The sequence below is a fragment of the Homo sapiens genome, chromosome 10 (genome assembly GCF_000001405.40).
Source record: "Homo sapiens chromosome 10, GRCh38.p14 Primary Assembly".
Taxonomy (NCBI): Eukaryota; Metazoa; Chordata; class Mammalia; order Primates; family Hominidae; genus Homo; species Homo sapiens.
In genome coordinates this window covers 17,457,251-17,476,502 of record NC_000010.11, presented here as the reverse complement: position 1 = coordinate 17,476,502, position 19,252 = coordinate 17,457,251, and the positions used below count along the sequence as shown (strand labels likewise).

At 40.5% G+C, this 19,252-nt stretch overlaps 1 long non-coding RNA gene across 1 annotated transcript, besides 1 other annotated feature; it reads left to right on the top strand.

Moving 5' to 3' along the window:
• Positions 1,619-1,913: a silencer, noted in NCBI's record as "tiled region #15274; HepG2 Repressive non-DNase unmatched - State 13:Ctcf". NCBI's record gives its function as "represses a minimal TATA promoter and a strong SV40 promoter by Sharpr-MPRA in HepG2 cells {active_cell/tissue: HepG2}" and the evidence as "EXISTENCE:reporter gene assay evidence [ECO:0000049][PMID:27701403]".
• LOC105376437 (uncharacterized) lies at positions 3,516-4,864 on the top strand. The gene is made up of 3 exons (XR_930714.1): positions 3,516-3,590; positions 3,968-4,103; positions 4,637-4,864. It is a non-coding gene; the product is annotated as an uncharacterized LOC105376437 (long non-coding RNA).

Below are 19,252 nucleotides of genomic sequence, written 5' to 3'. Positions count from 1 at the left end.
GTTGGACTCCAGATAAAGACTTGGATATGAAAAATATACATATCAGATTTAATAGAAAATATAGCATGAGAATATCCCCTTACATGAGGGATAGGAAAAGGCTTCTTCTATTTTTGCAAAAGATGTATCATAAAGAAACAACTAAGGATTTCCATGCAATGAAAGATGCCACAGACAAGGTTAGAAGTGACAGATATTGAGAAATCATTGGCAAGGCCTAAAGCTGACAAGGAACCGAAACCTAGAAAACACAAGGAACTGGGGATTTCTGCACATCAACCAGAAGAAGGTAGGGACTCTGACAAAACAAAACAAAACAAAACAAAAAATCTAAGAATACAGATAGGTGATTTACAGAAGGGAAAATTCAAATAAAAGTTAACAAACAGAAGAGTTGCTCCAATATATTATTCCTCAGAATTGTAAGTCAACATACAATGAAGTATCATTTCCACACAATAGCCTGGCAAAGGATAGGGATGTGGAATTACAGGCACCCTCATGAATAGGCTGATGGAAGTATAAATTGGTATTGCAGTCTTGAACATCCGGGCAGGAAATCTTTAAACTGAGTATGCATATTTCTAGGATACAGGAATTCTCTTTCTTGGTATTTCTGGAAGGAATTCACACACAGGCCCACGTTGGAACAGGCTTACGGATATTCATCATAGCATTGTTTGTGGGAGTTAGAGGCCATCAGGGTACCTATCTCTGGGATAGAGGATTAGTGTAATGTTCTGTATGTCTGCTGTGGAACACAGGGCAGCCCTTAGAAGCAATGCACTGAATGTCCACACAGCAACATGGCTCATTCTCAAAGACAGAGTGCTGAGTAACAGTTGGAAGAAAGAATGCTACCTGTAGCTCAAGACCATTTACGTAATACAGTAAGAAATGCACACAAGACCAGGCGCGGTGGCTCATGCCTATAATCCCAGCACTTTGGGAGGCCGAGGTGGGAGGATTACCTGAGGTTGAGAGTTCGAGACCAGCCTGGCCAACATAGTGAAACCCCATCTCTACTAACAACACAAAACCTAGCCGGGTGTGGTGGCACACGCCTGTAATCCCAGCTAGTCGGGAGGCTGAGGCAGGAGAATTGCTTAAACCTGGGAGGCAGAGGTTGCAGTGAGCTGAGATTGTGCCACCACACTCCAACCTGGGCACCACCACACTCCAGCCTGGGCAACAGAGCAAAATTCCATCTCAAAAAAAGAAAAAAATAAATGCACACAAACCTAAAATAAACTTCTTGAAAGAATAAACACAGATGAGAGGATATGCATCAGAGGAATTAGAAATTTTGGTGTGGCAGGGAGGTTGGAGGAGTGGGAGTGGGAAAAGAATAACTAGAGAAAGGAGGGAGGAGTCCAGCACAGACCATTACTGAAAGCATTTTCTGTTTGTTTCCCTCCTGAAAACATTAGGATGGGTGAGCTCTTGGAGGGATCCTGGCTCTGAAGGCACCTAGGTGAGAATGGACGTGGGATAGTGTGAGGGCATGGATTTGAGGCTGGTGGACGGGTGAAGGGATGACTTAAAAGGTGATTTGCTACTGATAAGGATCCCAAAGAGGAGAAAATTAGAATCCAGATGAGTACAGCCTTCTTCCTAGCTTTGCCGGCTTTTCCTTGGGAAAGAACATAATATTTACATTGAAAAAAAAAAAAAAAACAAACCAAGTCCAAGTACAAACCACAGGGGGGCACTTTTCCCTCATTAAAATTGAAGAGCCAGCATCTTAGAAAAAGGAGTCCAGAGAACACGGTGGGAAGGCTCCGTCTCACATCACTGGGGAGTTTCTGGCTCCACAATTAATTGCCAACACCTGGGCTAATTTCCCCAGGTGTAATTTGTCTCCACAAGGGGCCAACCTTTAAAGTCTTACAATGCATGAAATATAGCAGAGAAAATACAGTTGAAAGAAAAAAAAATAGCCATTCAAACTTTAAAATCACCTGATTGAAATAAAATTAAATAGCATAATACTGGTGTAATGCTATATTTGTTTCTTCAGATTCCCCAGAAATGCTTTATAAGTCTATACTTTAAAAATATTTAAACTCTTCTCTCTTAAAAACCTTCGTAAATCCTAAAATATTAGTTTTGGAAAGCTCTGATTTATTTCTTCCTAAAGCTGGGATTTTGTTTCTAATTTTGCTCTTGAAAATGATTTCAAATTCACTGACAAATGAAATAAAATAACATAATGAAAATTTTTGGAGTATGGCTGTAACAAAAAGACCAACTTAGTAATATAACAGCTCTATAGAATATCATCTTACATAGAGACTTTAAAATACCGAAGTGTATATTATTTTATTTCTTACGAATAAAGGTAGTTGGGGCAGATGTATTATCCTGAATTCAAAAAAAGACAAGACTTTTAAGTGAAAATTTCAAGGGAAGTATTGGTATTTGCGGTAGACTTTGAAAAATGGGTAGACTTTATATGACGAAAAGGTCATTGAAGGCAGAGGGAACAATTTGAGCAAAAGTTCACGTATTAGTCCTTTTTCACATTGCTATAAAGAACTGCCCAAGACTGGGTAATTTATAAAGGAAAGAAGTTTAATTGACTCACAGTTTCACATGGCTGGGGAGGTCTCAGGAAACTTACGATCTTGGCAGAAGAGGAAGCAGGCACGTCTTACGTGGGGACCCACAAGAGAGCTCAGGAAAAACTACCATTTATAAAACCATCAGATCTCGTGAGAATTCAATCACTATCACAAGAACAGCATGAGGGAAACTGTCCTCGTAATCCAATCACCTTCCACTAGGTCCCTCCCTTTACACAGGAGGATTACAATTCAAGATAAAATCTGGGTGTGGACACAGAGCCAAACTCTATCAGTTGAGAAATGATAAACGTGAAGACATGTTTGGGAAATGGTGTTTCTATTTGTTAGGCTCTAAGACTGGTCATAACAAGAAACACCAATATAATACCTACTAAGCGCTTGGTACTATTCTAAGTGCCTAATATACATATATTAACTCAATCTTTACACAACCCTAACAGAACACTTTTCAAGTGAAGTAACTGACACATAAAAAGTTGATATCTGAGCTCACACAGATGTTGAACCTTGGTGTCCCGGTGCTGATAACAACAAGGGTATAGTTTGTAGTTTGGATATTGACTGTGGAGTTAATGCAGGACAGGTGAGCCGTCAAAGTGGCGCTAAGCCCACGAAGTTTCTTGGCTTCACCCAGGAAAGAAATCAAGGATGAGCCAGTAGAGTTAAGACAGCAATCTTTTAATTGGATGCTACTGCTCCCTATGGAGTAGAGCTAACTCACAAGCAGGGCACCACAATCAGCAACAGCCTGGGCTGTTGGCCACTGTATTCATACTCACGTGAGCCCACTTTCAGTTACATGCAAATTGAGGGGGAGTTACTTTGAACTTTTAGGAAATGAGGCAGTAACTTCCAGGTTGTTACCATGGAAAGGAGAAGTAATTTCCTGGGTTGTTGCCATGGCATTTGTAAACTGTCATGGCGCTGGGGGGAGTGTCTTGTGCTAATAAGCAATGAAGATAGCTGGTGATCACTTTCCTCATCTTCTGCTGGTTCCTGCTGGTTGGTTTCTTTCCTTTCTTTTTTTTTTTTTTTTTTTGCCTTTTCTTTTTTTGAGACAGGGTCCCACTCTGTTGCCCAGGCTGGACTACGGTGGCATGATCATAGCTCACTGCAGCCTTGATCTCCCAGGCTCTAGCAATCCTCCCACCTCAGTTTCCTGAGTAGTTGAGACCACAGGCACAAATCAACATGCCCAGCTAATTTTTGTAGAGACAGGGTCTTGCTATGTTGCCCAGGCTGGTCTTGAACTCCTGGGTTCAAGCCATCCTCCTGCTTCAGCCTCCCAAAGTGCTGAGGTTACAGGTGTGATCCCAGCCTAGTTTCTTCACTTCATCCTCTTGAGACTGGGAAATAAGTCCTACCCATCTCCTACTCAGTTTCATCTCAACTGCCTTGCAATGGAGAGAAACTGCAAATTTGTTCTTGGAACAGCAGCATGGCATGAGACCTACGTGTGACAACTCTGAAGAAAAATATTTTGGAAGTGCCATATAGGATCGATCAGGTTAGGAAGTAAGTGAAGTCAAGGGACCAGTTTCGATGCTAGAAGAGGGGAAGGTGGTGACAGAGAAAATATATTGAAGAGGTGAAAAGAGGGGGAGAAATTAAAGATAAAGATAAATCTAGGAAATCTAACCTGCGAGGCTTGACAGTGGCTCAATAGCATCATCATAGGAAATAGGCCAAGAGGAAGGTTTAGTTTGGGCAGGAGGAGCAGATAAGAACTTAAGTGAGGTGCTGGTGGGAAATCACAGTGGCGAGATATCCAGGAAGCTTCCAGAAACAGGAGTGTTTTCTGTTCATTAGAGAGGACAAAGCTGGAGGTCAAATTTAGGAGTCATCCAGTTAAGGAACAAGGAAGCCAATCCGTGCATGCGAAGTGTTCCCTGAGAATCACAGCAGAGGGACAGAACTCACAACTGGACCACAGAGAAAAGCATTTTAGCCTACATTTTTCAAAGGTTTTTGACTTTCTTCCACCCGCTAAATCCAGAGCCATATAACATACCCACGCCACTAACAAAGCCTTTAACTGATTATTACAGGACTCCACATCAGTTTAGGACAAGGCGGCTTCACCAGAGCCTCTGGAAAGGCCACTCTCAGATGCTGAGGCTGAAAATCTCTTGCTTCTGTGTTAAGAATGATTCTCTTTCTGCCTTCTACCACTTGCTCCTATGCTGTGAGTGGGTGTGGTGGGTGCACTTCTTATAGCTGTGGATCTTGATCAATAAGCTATTATTTTATGTTTTATTTATTTATTTTTTTGTACAGATGGGGTCTCGCTATGTATTCCAGGCTGGTTTTAAACTCCTGGCCTCAAATGATCCTTCCACCTTGGGTTCCCAAAGTGCTGGGATTACAGGCACGAGCTACTGTGCCTGGCCCCAGCTATTATTGTACACTTTCTGCTTTTTCTGTTCCTGAAAGAATACTGCAGATGAGGACATCACTGGAGAACTTGCCTCCTTTCCCCAATAAAAATGGAATTTAGTCTGGCTTGCCAGGGTTTCAGAAGCAGAAAATGTTATGGTCTGTGTGTTTATCATGCTGGTGAATTCCATAGATCTGCCATTTTCAAATTCAAGAAGCCTCCGAAATTAAAAAAAAACTCAAGATACTGTCTGGGCCAAGTGAAAACTTTCTCTTCACCCTCTGAAGGTTCACTGGAAATCACTGAAAAGAAGCAGATTAACGAGAAAAAGCATACACATTTATTTGATCTTAATTTTTTTTTTTTTTTTTTTTTGTGAGACAGAGTCTTGCTCTGTTGCCCAGGCTGGAGTGTAGTGGTATGATCTCGGCTCACTGCAAGCTCCGCCTCCCGAGTTCATGCCATTCTCTTGCCTCAGCCTCCCGAGTAGCTGGGACTACAGGTGCCCGCCCCCATGCCCGGCTAATTTTTTGTATTTTTAGTAGACACGGGGTTTCACCATGTTAGCCAGGATGGTCTCGATCTCCTGACTTCATGATCTGCCCGCATCAGCTTCCCAAAGTGCTGGGATTACAGGCGTGAGCCACCGCACCCGGCCTTGATCTTAGTTTTATGTGATGTGAATGCCTTTAGGTGAAGACCCAAAGATACAAAGGTAATTGTCAATTTTTTACTTAGGTGCAACAGAATATGAACAGCCATGTAGAAATAGGCTTGGACAAAAGGGTCTGATCTAATGTTAATGGACTGAGTGGGGAAACCCAGCAAGGACTTTCTATCTAGATTCTTCTTGGCCTCTCTGTGCAGCAATTTTTCCATCTGGGAATGGGGCACAACCCTCTCTGGAATGAGGGTCTTATGACCTATAGTCAATGTATTTGTCTGTTTTCCTGCTGCTGATAAAGACATACCCGAGACCAGGAAGAAAAATGGGTTTAATGGACTTACAGTTCTGCATGCCTGGGGAGGCCTCACAATCATGGTGAAGGCAAGGAGGAGCAAGTCACATCTTACATGGATGGCAGCAGGCAAAGAGAGAGAGCCAAGCAAAAAGGGGTTTCTCCTTATAAAAGCATCAGATCTCGTGAGACTTACTCACAACCATGAGAACAGTATGGGAGAAAGCACCCCCATGATTCAATTATCTCCCACCGGCTCCCTCCTACAACACGAAGGAATTATGGGAGTTACAATTCAAGATGAGATTTGGGTGGGGACACAGCCAACCGTATCAGTCAAACAAGGTAGATCAAATAATTTCCTTATGGCTTGTGGGTTATTTGTTTTGTTTCGTTTGAGACAGGGTTTTCCTCTGGCACCCAGGCTACGTACAGTAGCGCGATTACAGTTCACTGCAGCCTCAAATTCCTGGACCCAAGCAATTCTCTGGCCTTAGCCTCCTGAGTAGCTGGGATTACAAACTTGTACCACCATACCCATCTAATTTTTTAATTTTTTGTAGAGTCTGGGTCCCAGGCAGGTCTCAAACTCCTGGACTCAAGTGCTCCTCCCACCTTGGCACCCCAAAATGCTGGGATTGTTCAAGAGCCACCACATCCAGCCCTTATGGCTGGTTTTTACATGGAAACTTTGGGATGGGGGAGTTAGAATGATATTTTTAGGTTTTTTAGCTGGTTTGGGGGAAAAACATTTCTGGTTCTATGACCTGCCTTGGGGAAGAAAGATTCTAGTTTCCATGGCTAGCCTTGGGAGAGAATGGGATGAGAGACGGAGGGCAGGAAAAAGAAAAAAAATTTTTGCTTCTGAGACCTTCATTTTGAGGTATTATTTTCTGAGTCCCAACAATACTATGAAATTTATTTACATTTATGAGACATCATCATAATGCATATTTTGCCAATGAACTCCTAATCTGTGTCTTTAATATGTTATGGATCCATTCATTCTGCAAATGTTTTCTATCACCTACTTAAGTAACAGTGTGGTTCAAAGTGCTGGGGATACAGTGTGAAAAAGACAGTCAACATTCCTGTCCACTAAGAGTGTTGACTACCAAACAGGAAAACTGTGAGTTTGAATGTATTTCCTTAAATGAAAAGAACAATTAAAAAGAAAATAAGAAAAAAAAGGTAAATTTAAATTTCTTAAATATAGAGACAAGTAAAAATCAATTTAAAAAGCTTAATTGGTCATTCCTTTAAAAAAAGTATGGGAGAACTGTTACTTTTATGTGGGGCTCAAAATAAGTCATATTATTTCAATATCAGTATTGAAACATTATAAATTCTGAATATGTGTTTTATGTAAAAACGAATGGATGAGAAAAAGGCATGAGGAATTTTCCTTCCCTCGGGTGTCGATTAAAGTGCTGTTTGTTTCAGAGAGAAGGAATCTTCCTCTCCTAGGCTGGATAATATTCATCTGTTCAGCTCTGCTTAAACCTGATGACCAGCTCTATAAAAAGGCACATTCTTAAAATGGCAACTCATCTTTAGTCTGTAATTTTAGATTTGGCAATCTTTTGTATTAAATTTTTATTATCTAGCTGTCCTTTCTTCTAATTAAATCTCTAAACATTTTGTGTGTGTGTGTGGTGACACTGGTCTATTCCTGTATCTCTATCCTATTATATCATTGACACATGCCTATAATTTATACTTACTTAACAAAACTCCTAAGTAAAAGTTGTTTCATTTTAAAGGCATTTTCTCTGAAAACATGAGTCCCAGTAATACGACTGATATTATTGCACTTATTTAAACTATTTTCCAGAACAGATTTAAAATAACTAGGACAACATCAGTAATTCTAAGGTGGAATGAAATCAGTAGCAGCAATAACATGCCATAGTTCTCAGAAGAAAGGAAAAATATCTTCTTCCAATTCAGTGGCAACATGAGGTCATATTTGTTGGGCACCTGTGGAGACAGTAGAGATTCCTGGGTTCACAGCTGCTAATAACTTGCTTTGGGACCTGGAAAAAGAATCATTTCTCTTCCCACGGGTTGGCTTTCACAGCTGGAATAGAAAGGGTAATTAGACTGTTGTCTGGATAAGGCAGGAAAGAAAATTGGAGCCGTGCTCTCCTTAGCCCAATAATCTAAACACAAAATATGATATTGGCTCAAATGATTTGAAAAACTCCTCCAAATTTTTATTTTGTGTGTATGTTGGAGACTTGATTGAACAGACAAAGTGGTCGTCAAAGAAAAATTGTCAAAGCAAAACAAATAAAAATGCCTGTGAGGGGATAAAACAGTGAAAATAATTGGCCGAGAGAAGTTCCAAGTTAGTAAGTTTCTCAGAGAAAGCGAGAAGAGAACGCCAAGTTGTCTTGGCTCTGTAATATTAGTTATAATATAAATTTGACTAAATTTCTATAAGATGTTAAATATCACTGAAACGTCTTAATGGAGTTAATGAGGTGATAAGATAGGGTACAAAAATGCCAGCTAGGTCACACATGAAAAGTTCATCATCAAAGTAGGCAAAATATAATTATATTCATTCTCTAGCCTAGGTAATCAATTCATTAGAATCAGGTGCCTCTGAACACAGGTGCAAAATCGGAATCATTCAAATATGCAAAACATAATTAAAGGAACATTTTCCAAGGGAAAATTAATTATGCTGGGTAAACATACGGTTATCTCACAACTTAAAAATGAAATTACCACTTAGAGCTCGTGTAGAGTCTGGGAGAATAAGAATTCTGAATTATAACCTAAGCAATTTGGAACAGCGAGGTGATCAGCATCCTTGGGATGGAGCCATCCTAAGTAATTCAGCGAATGTAAGAGTGTAAGAAAATGCTCTCCAAAGGCCAGGCACGGTGGCTCACGCTTGTAATCCCAGCTCTTTGGGAGGCCGAAGCGGGTGGATCACGAGGTCAGGAGATCAAGACCATCCCGGCTAACATGGTGAAACCCCATCTCTACTAAAAAATTAGCTGGGCGTGGTGGCGGGCGACTGTAGTGCCAGCTATTCGGGAGGCTGAGGCAGGAGAATCACTTGAACCTGGGAGGCGGAGGTTGCAGTGAGCCGAGATCGTGCCACTGCGCTCCAGCCTGGGTGACAGAGCAAGAGTCCGTCTCAAAAAAAAAAAAAAAAAAAAAAAAAAAAAAATAGCTGTAGCTGTCTCTCCAGATAAAAATAAAATTAAAAAAAAAAAAAAGAAAATGCTCTCTGGAAGCATGGTGAGTAGGAATATGTGAAATGCTAAACAGAGGTCTTCTCATCGAAAATTCTTCTGAGGGATTATCATTTCCATGGCCAAATATGAAGGAACGGAAGTGACAACGTCTAAAAGGAAGAGATCTGAAATGAGGCATTTTATTCATCAAGGATTTTCTTAATTATCAGAATATTTTGGCTTTAAATAACAGTTCCTGTGCTATTCATGTGACTCTAGATCAAAAATGCCTCCAGATCTTAATTTCTCACCTCCTACTCTTGTAGGGTACAGAAGAAGAGAGATCTAATTTCTGTGCAATTTCCTAATCACAACAGTACTATTTCTTAATCCCCAAATGACAACCTTTGGTATTCCATTTGGACATCCAATTTTCCATATTTAGCTTTTGGAACAAATAAGTCTCTTGGATGAGTGTTTGATTTTACTGAATTGTGCTTTTCTGGGCTCTCAGGCTTGCTTTTTAAAAACTTTGATAGTGATCCAAGAAACCTATTTTACCTGTGGAAAGCAATGGTGAAATGTACTGGGCTTTGAATAATTTATAGTATCTTTTTCGGAAAAAAAGTAAACATTTTATAGTAAATAAAATATATATTTAGAAGAACAACAAAAATATGAGATAGGTCCCTGGGTCACTGTTTGTTCAGAACACCTTTGCACAGAATGTGTTATATCTTTAGACCCACAATATATTTTATTTTTTTATTTATTTAGAGACGGAATCTCCCTCTGTCGCCCAGGCTGGATTGGAGTGCAGTGGTGAGATGGCAGCTCACTGCAAACTCCGCCTCCTGGGTTCAAGGGATTCTCCTGCCTCAGCCTCCTGAGTAGCTACAATTACAGGCCTGCACCACCACGCCTGGCTAACTTTTGTACTTTTAGTAGAGACGGGGTTTCACCATGTTGGTCAGGCTAGTCTTGAACTCCTGACCTCAAGCAATCCACCCACCTCATCCTCCCAAAGTGCTGGGATTACAGGCGTTTTCTTTGCAACAACTCTGGGAGAGAGATATTCTTATGCAATTAATGAATTCATTAGAATAGTTAAAACACATACCTAGCACTTAATTCTAAAAAGGCCAGAGGACTATACAGTGGAATGTGAAGTCTCATACCACTCCAATGCTTCCTCTCCTGAAATAACCACGGCTACCGCTTCGCTTCGTGTATATAGAGTGATACTTGAGTAATATGCTACTTTTCCTAAACAAGGCAAATGGGACCACACTATACATAGTTGTGCACCTTGCTTTGGGCACTTAGTATCAAGAATGATATTTTTGTCCTTATTTTATAAATGAGGAAATTGAGGCTCAGAGAAGTTGTCTTAGCAAACTGAGCAGAACTGACAATTCAGGTCTCTCTGACCCACGTCTCAGGTTTATTTTCTTTTCTCTTGTTGACACTTGAAAGCACAGGGATGCCTTTTCATCTATAAATAGCAGTGACTGCCACCAAGCCTGGGTGGATTTACAAAGCACCGGAAGTCCATCTTTTCCCCTTCCTTTGTGAATTCTTCTCCCACCTCCTAGAACTCTCTCCCAGCCCTAAGCTTTCGGTGCCCTCATACAACTCACAATGCCCTACTTTAGCTGTGTCCTTATTATAGGTCTCTATCCTTATGGTTTTCTCCAGAAATGCCTAATGCATCCCCTTCCAATTCTCTCTTCTTGACACCTCTCACTCAAGATCAGAAATTCTTTTTCTAAATAAAATAGCTAAGTATTGAGCTCTCTGGGGAAAGTACCCCACAAAGGGGAAAGGGGTGATCAAAGAACTCTGCAGGTGACGGCATGTGACTGCAGCTAGACAGCCACAGCCTTATCCCTCTTACTAGAAAGATGAGCTTATGACTCCAGCTGGGTCCTGTGGAAGGATTTTTCTAACTGAAGCTGGGGTGAAAGCCATCTCTTCGGGACCCTATAGGGCAATAGGTGTGAAGCTGCCTACAGCAGCTAGATGAAGAGAGCTCTCTTGCATTAGAAAGATGTAAGTTCACATGCAATGTGTTCAAGAAAGGCTTTCTGAGGGAATTTGAAGCTGAGATCCAAAGGACAAGTAGACATTAGCCAAGCGAAGGATGGATGGGTGGGTGTTGGGGGGTGTTGAGTACAGCATACAGGGGAGGGTCTTGGAGAAAACACGGCACGTGCAAAAGTCCAGAAGCAAGAGAGAGTATGTCACACTAGCTCATCTGCGGGAGGGCGAATGTGGCGGGAGTACAAAATGAGATGAGGAAACTGGAGAGGTGAGAGATGCTTGAATCCCAGAGCAATGCTAAGGATGTAGGCATGAACAGGAGGCCACTGGAAGCATAGGTTGGTTAGAAGGGGATGGAGGGACTGGACATTTCATGATGTGCCAGTCAGTGCTCCTGGTTACAAGTAATTGACCTGGGCAGCGGTGGAATTTAATGGGAGGACATTTATTGGCTAGTTCTGGAAACATCAGGAGGACTAGAGAACAGGAATTGGTAAATAGGCATAAACCCAAGGAGGCCAGGCAACAGAAACAATCCCACCAGGCATCGGCTACAGACACTGTTGTGCAATAGATCACTGCACGTTTGTCTTTTAGGGCCATCATTCTTTCTGCTGTTTGGGGAATGGAGGGGAAGTGGTGGTGGTGTGGTGGTGGGCAAACCGGCCACAATAAAATCAGATAAGAGGCTGTTGCAATAATCCAGACAGGAGAGATAGTGGTGGCCTGGACCATGGAAAAGGCAAATGGCAGTGTGGATGGAGAGAAAGGAATGGGTTCGAGAGATATTGATGACATTGAAAGTGTGTTGATGGGTTGGATGTGGTGGCTGGAGGCACTGAAGAAGAACAGGGAGTGAGGGGTGACACTCACGTCTGGCTCCGGCATCTTGCTGGCTGAGGGTGCCCTTCATTTAGAGAAGTGGTCCCCAATCATTTTGGTACCAGGGACTGGTTTTGTGGAAGACATTTTTTTCCACAGATGGAGTGGGGGTGGTTTCGGGATGGTTCAAGTGCATTGTATTTGTTGCGCACTTTATTTCTACTATTATTACATTGTAATATAGAATGAGATAATTCTACAACTCACTGTAATGTAGAATTGGTGGGAGCCCTGAGCTTGTTTTCCTGCAACTTGATGGTCCCACTGGAAGGCGATGGGAGACAGTGACAGATCATCAGGCATTAGATTCTCGTAAGGAGCAAGCAACCCAGATCCCTCACATGCGCAGCTCACAACAGGGTTCGTGCTCCTATGAGAATCTAATGCTGCTGCTGATCTGAGAGGAGGCGGAGCTCAGGCGGTGACGTGAGTGATGGCGAGCGGCTGTAAATACAGATGAAGCTTCGCTCACTCACCTGCCACTCACCTCCTGCTGTGTGGCCTGGTCCTAACAGGACACGGACTAATAATGGGGCTTGGGGACCTCTGATTTAGAGAACCCAGGAGGAGGAACAGAGTCCCTAGTAGGTTCACTTCACCCTCATTTTGCAGATGAAGAAACTTGGAGAAATTAAACATCCCACTCAGGGTCACATACCCAGTTAGTGGCACAGCCAAAATCCACACCAAACCTGTTTAAATAAAAACCTCATGCTCTGTATCTTACAACAGGGTGCTCTGAGTATCAGCATGGGAAGATCGCGGAGTAATCTATTAAAATCTCAGTACTACATTGACACGTCATCTTTTCCAAAGAAATATGACCAAGTGAAATTTTTAGCGGGAAAAAGTATTTTCATGGGAAAACAACTTGCTCGAAATTTTTCAGTCTGTGGCTGACACATTTATCTGCCCTTTCATTCTGCTTTATTCTGCACTGTTTACTGACGAAAGCTTCTCCTTATATTTACTTTTCTATCATTACTGTGATCGTACCCAGCATTTCTAAAGGCCATTGAAGTTTTCAGAGGAAAGGCAGTGGTTAGGTTAGCTACAGAAAAATGTCAGTTGCATATTATAAACACTTTGGCATTTACATTCATTTCTGTATTTAACAAATGCTTATTTTGTCCCTTCCATGTGTTCTAGGCACTGGAAACGCAGGAAAAGGGCAAAATAGCCCAAGTCTGTGCCTTCATGGAGCTTCCATTGTAATTGGGAGAAGTCTCTAGCAATGTACAAATAAATACATAATGTATTTGGTGGTAACAAGTGGTAGAGAAAACATAAAGCAATGTAGGGAGGTAGGAGATGTTGAGTGTCTAGGGTTGAAAGGTAGTTCTTATTTTATTAAGGCAATATTTGATAGGACTAAAGAAAGGGGGGTTAAGTCCAGAACATATCTGGAGCAAGAGCTTTTCTGGCAGAGAACAGAATGGCAAGAGCAAAGGCACGGTGACAAAATCACGTTGACCCTGTGTTTTACAACCACATCATACATTTCCTTCCCAAGTGTAGAGAACCGATAGAAGGGATGTAACCAGAAAATGATCTGAAGTTTATGCCTGATTCCCAAATATCCCTAAATATTTATACTCAATCTTGAAATATCAGATCATGTTCTAGAAAGATGCCTGGGAAAAAGAGGCCTTTAAATGAAAAGAAAAAGTTGAATTGCTTGTGTCAATAGACCTGGAAATTTTCTACCAAGTCCAAAACCTACATGCATATAAGTAGGGACAAAATTGGTCCTGTAAATCAGTAGTGAGGATTATTATTCTGGTTAGTTGCCAATGACTGTAGAATCAGCTATTTGCTAATTTTCTGTTCTCTATTGTCAGAGATAGGTACAAAATCAATACTAATTTTTAGTGTTAAATATAGAAATGGAACAACTGATACTTTTCAGTTATACTGATTCTTAAGCTACGGATGAAAGTGTTGAGTATTTTACATGGTTTTATTTAGGTTTAATGCTTCAATGATATTAAGAAACTTATTTTTAGTATGTTTAGTAGTCAAATGGCATGTCAAAAACCTGCACGGGACCATGGACACACTTCACTCAAACAATGTTAAGATCCTGTCTCATTCTTGGTTTGAAAGAAATTGTTTTTATTAAGCAATTAAGCATCTGGCTCCTTTTTGATTTAAGATATTAATTTGTGTTATCATTCTGTTTGAAGCTGCTGTCAAACTCATCTTGTTTTACTAAAGTTTCTTTTCTTTTTTTTGAGATGAGATCTCGCTATGTTGCCAGGCTGGCCTTGAAGTCCTGGGCTCAAGTGATCATCCTGCCTCAGCCTCCCAAGTAGCAGGGATTATGGGCACGAGCCACTGCACTTGGCCTCAGATTTTTTTTTTTTAATTTAGGAAAAGTTGCTAAATATATCCTTTCTAAGATGATAATGGTTTTCCTCCAATACCCCAATAATATGGTAAATAAAATTAGATTTTCTCATGTTGAAACATCCTTGCACCATAAGAATAAATAGTAATGGTTCTTGTGTTGTAATTTTGGGGATTTATGGTATATAAACTTTGTTCTTTCATTTGAATTGCTGAATAAACAAATAGATGTGGCCAGGCGTGGTGGCTGATGCCTGTAATCCCAGCACTTTGGGAGGCTGAGGCAGGCGGATCACGAGGTCAGGCATTCGAGATCAGCCCGGCCAACATGGTGAAACCCCGTCTCTACTAAAAATACAAAAATTAGCCTGGCGTGGTGGCACTTGTCTGTAATCCCAGCTACTCAGGAGGCTGAGGCAGGAGAATCGCTTGAACCGGGAGGCAGAGATTGCAGTGAGCCAAGATTGCACCACTGCACTGCAGCCTGGGCGAGAGAGTGAGACTCCATCTTAAAAAGAAAAAATAGATGTATATTTAATATCTGTCTTTGGGCCAGGCACGGTGACTCATGCCTGTAATCCCAACACTTTGGGAGGCTGAGGCGGGTGGATCACCTAAGGTCAGAAGTTCAAGACCAGCCTGGCCAACATGGCGAAACCCCGCCTCTACTAAAAACACAAAAAAATTAGCCGAGCATGATGGCCCACACCTATACTTCCAGCTACTCAGGCTGCTGAGGCAAGAGAATCGCTTGAACCTGGGAGGCAGAGGTTGCAGTGAGCTGAGATCATGCCACTGCACTCCAGCTTGGGCAAAAGAGTGAAACTCCATCTCCAAAAAAAAAAATCTGTTTCTGATACATATATATATTTTTGATCAGTGTAGTTTCCATGTCCTTTTCCTGTGTGCTTTTTCTTTTTTGCAATTGTCACCAGTTCAATCCGACATTGATTCAGATTTTTGCCATATAAGTTCTGCCAGATATTCTAAGTTCTGCAACATTTTTCTGTTTTGTTTTGCTTTAATGTTGTCAGTTCACTTCTCAACATATTCTACTGCCTTACTACCTCTTTTTCAGTTTTTCTTTCTTTGGACTTTCCTACCATAGTGTTTACATTATATTTAGTTTCCTGGGGAGTATGAAGTGATCTTGCTTAAATTTGTCTGCTGTTTCCTGGAGTAAGTCTCTTCCAACACATTTTCTTCACTTCCCTTTTTACTGGTTACATTTCTTTCCTTTTATCTTATATTTTCCAGAACATTTGCATAATTTCCTTTCCTGTCTGGTCATCTTTGAAATGTCATGTCTGTTCCTTTCTGCTACTTGCTAGGAATATTGTGAATGGAAATTCTCTGGCAGTCCTTCTTTTTTCTTTGTGCACTTGTTGAAATTTAGTTTTGCATTATGGGCTGGCTGTCGATTTTTTTTTCAGTTTACTGTTTATAGTTTAGGTTATATGGAATGAAGAGGTGGGGAAGAGAAGTTGGAGGAAGAAATTTGACAGAGTTTGACATATTATCTCTGCATGCTCACTCTCCACCCCTCAATCTGTTGAAACAACTGAAGTTTTGCCTGGTCTGACAGGGTCTAAAATTAGGCAGGATATTCTGACCCTGGGAGAGGCCAGTTTGGTGTGAAAACCGGTAAATCAAAAACTTTTTGTTATCAGATAGGTAGAACAGGTACTCATTTTTCCTTGGTAAATTGACTTTAGTCAGTAGCCACAACATTCTTTTGCAGCATCTCTCCCTCAGTTTAGCAGCATTTCTAGGTAACTAGCATTCCTCTGGCAAGAACGCTACATTTGCTGAAAACAGAAATGTTAGCTTCCAGCTCTTTTTTAATCTGGCAGCCCTGGCTATTCACACTGATTACTACTTGTTTTTACTGTGGTTTACTCGTAGCCTTTGCCCTTTCAAATTGAGAATTAGTAGGGCCTTAAAAACTTTTCTACTTTTTTTTTTTTTTTTTTCAAGAGACAGAGTCTTTCTCTGTCTCCCAGGCTGGAGTGCAGTGGCATGGTCTTGGCTCACTGCAACCACCGCTTCCCCGGCTCAGGTGATCTTCCCACTTCCCCTTGCCAAGTAGCTGGGACTGCAGGCACAAGCCACTGTGCCTGACTAATAAAAAAAAAAAAGATTTTTTGCAGAGACGGCGTCTTGCTGTGTTGCTCAGGCTTGTCTTGAACTCCTGGACTCAAGCAATCTTCCCGCCTCGGCCTCCCAAAGTGCTGGGATTACAGGCATGAGCCACCACACCCAATCAACTTTTCTACTTGTTTCCCACAAATATAAGATCATAAATAGAGGAGACATGTCTTGAAATTGGCATTCTTGTCCAATTAGTTCGCTTTAAGCAGGGAGTTTGTGAAATGGGATTGTTGCCATTTTATAGTCTTGAGATATTAATAAATAGTGTGCATTTCCCCTTTTAGTCCTTTATAGTGTTTTAAGTGCATTCCAAAGAGAGGGATTTAGGAAATGTGAATGTTTATATGTTAAAAATCTATTTTATAAAGTGAATAATAATTCTCATATTTAGTCCCGTAGTTTTAGTTATACTCTTTAAATTAAAACTACTTTATGCATAGAATTACTTTATTATTATTATTATTATTTTTTGAGACAGAGCCTCACTCCATCACCCAGGATGGAGTACAGTGGTGCCATCTCAGCTCACTGCAACCTCCACCTTCTGGGCTCAAGTGATCCTCCCACCTTTGCCTCTAGAGTCGCAGGGACCATAGGTGTGCACCACCATGCCCTGCTAGTTTTTTTTTCTTTTGGTATTTTTTATAGAGGAGGGGTTTTGCTATATTGCCCAGGTTGATCTCGAACTCCTAGGCTCAAGCGATCTGCCCACCTCAGCCTCCCAAAGTGCTGGGATTACAGGTGTGAGCCACTGCGCCTGGCCCCCAATCTTCAATATTCCACTAACAGCGGTCAAAAATCTGTAATAAGACATATTTGGAGAGATACTGAGGTCATTGATTTTTTCAAGTCATTTCTACTTTTACTTATGTCCTATGACTTATTGAAAATATGTAGTCTGGCAGGGCGCGGTGGCTTACGCCTGTAATCCCAGCACTTTGGGAGGCTGAGGTGGGCAGATCACGAGGTCAGGAGATCGAGACCATCCCGGCTAAAACGGTGAAACCCCGTCTCTACTAAAAATACAAAAAATTAGCCGGGCGTAGTGGCGGGCGCCTGTAGTCCCAGCTACTTGGGAGGCTGAGGCAGGAGAATGGCGTGAACCCGGGAGGCGGAGCTTGCAGTGAGCCGAGATCCCGCCACTGCACTCCAGCCTGGGCGACAGAGCGAGACTCCGTCTCAAAAAAAAAAAAAAAAGAAAAAAAAAAAAAGAAAATATGTAGTCTTGGTTATCATAGTCTTATAAACGTCCTCCCCAAGGTATAGCTTAATGTTATAAATGACCTATTGTCCTGTAGTCCTCACAAATCTTTAACGTTACAAAAACCAGTCAAGCAGTCTGAAACATCAGAAATCATCCTTTCTAAACAGAGAGGTAAAAATGTCTCCCGAATGAAGAAAAGAGTCTTTGGTGCATCAATTTTTTGTGCGTTTCTCACAGCATTCCTTTTTTTCCTTATATTGAAGATGTTCATATATACCAGTGAGATATATTTGTATCTGCTATGTATTTAGTGTGTATATACATAGTATACATGTATATGCATTCTATATACACATATTTATTTATATAGTGTGTGTATATATACACATAATCTATGTAGAGATATAGCATATCTATGTACACTCATTCACTGTTATATATCAGTAAGAATCTTCAATATAAGGAAAAAAATTATGGAGATACATTATAGCTATCAGTATATATACATACTATGTAAACAAATATATGTATATATAGTTTCTATACATTTATATTATATACATAATATATAATCATGTATATACACAATATAATATAATATACATAATATATATACATAATATTATATAACAATTTGCATATGCATAATTATATGGAATGTATATGCATAGTATATATATACATAATGTATAATGTATATATACATACATATATAGTATAATGTATCTAGTGTGTATATATACATTATATATTATATATGTAGTATATATTATGTATATATGTAGTATATACTATGTATATAATATATACATAATATGTATACATAATACGTATGTGTATACATAATGTGTATACACAATATGTATATAATGCTATATATTCTGTACATTATGTATTATGTATATAGTGTATATACATATATATTATGTATATATCAAATGTCAGGTAGACTCTTGATATTTGTGATTCATCTTTCTGAATCCCCAAATCCACACTTATGGAAATCTTACACGTTTCTAGCTTTCCCCTGAATCATCTTTTTTGTGGAAAGTCACTTGTTAGCCAAATAAGAAACCTTACACTCCAAATCAGAAACTTCAACTTTCAAGATTTCCATAGGCCTGGAGACTTTTTATATATCGAAACTTCCCAATCATTTTTTAAAAGTTATTTTATGAAGGTAAGGACATTCATGATGATGAATAAAGAATAACAAAGACAAAATGAGAGGCCCATGTGGAGTGGACTGGGTGAGTGAGGTAGGCTCGCCACTTACACAAGCTTGGGAGCAGCATCCGGATGTCAACCTGAGTTTACGTTTCAATTCCTGGCCTCAGCAGCATTTCAAATTACTACATGGCATAGATCTTTAGGGTTGCAAGTCAAGCCTGGAAATGTTAAGCTACCAAATGCACACTTTTCCAGTAGTGGTTCTATGGCTAATAATGTTAAGGTATCATTTTCTTGTCAGGTTTCTTTCTCTCTCAAGGATGAGCAAGATAATT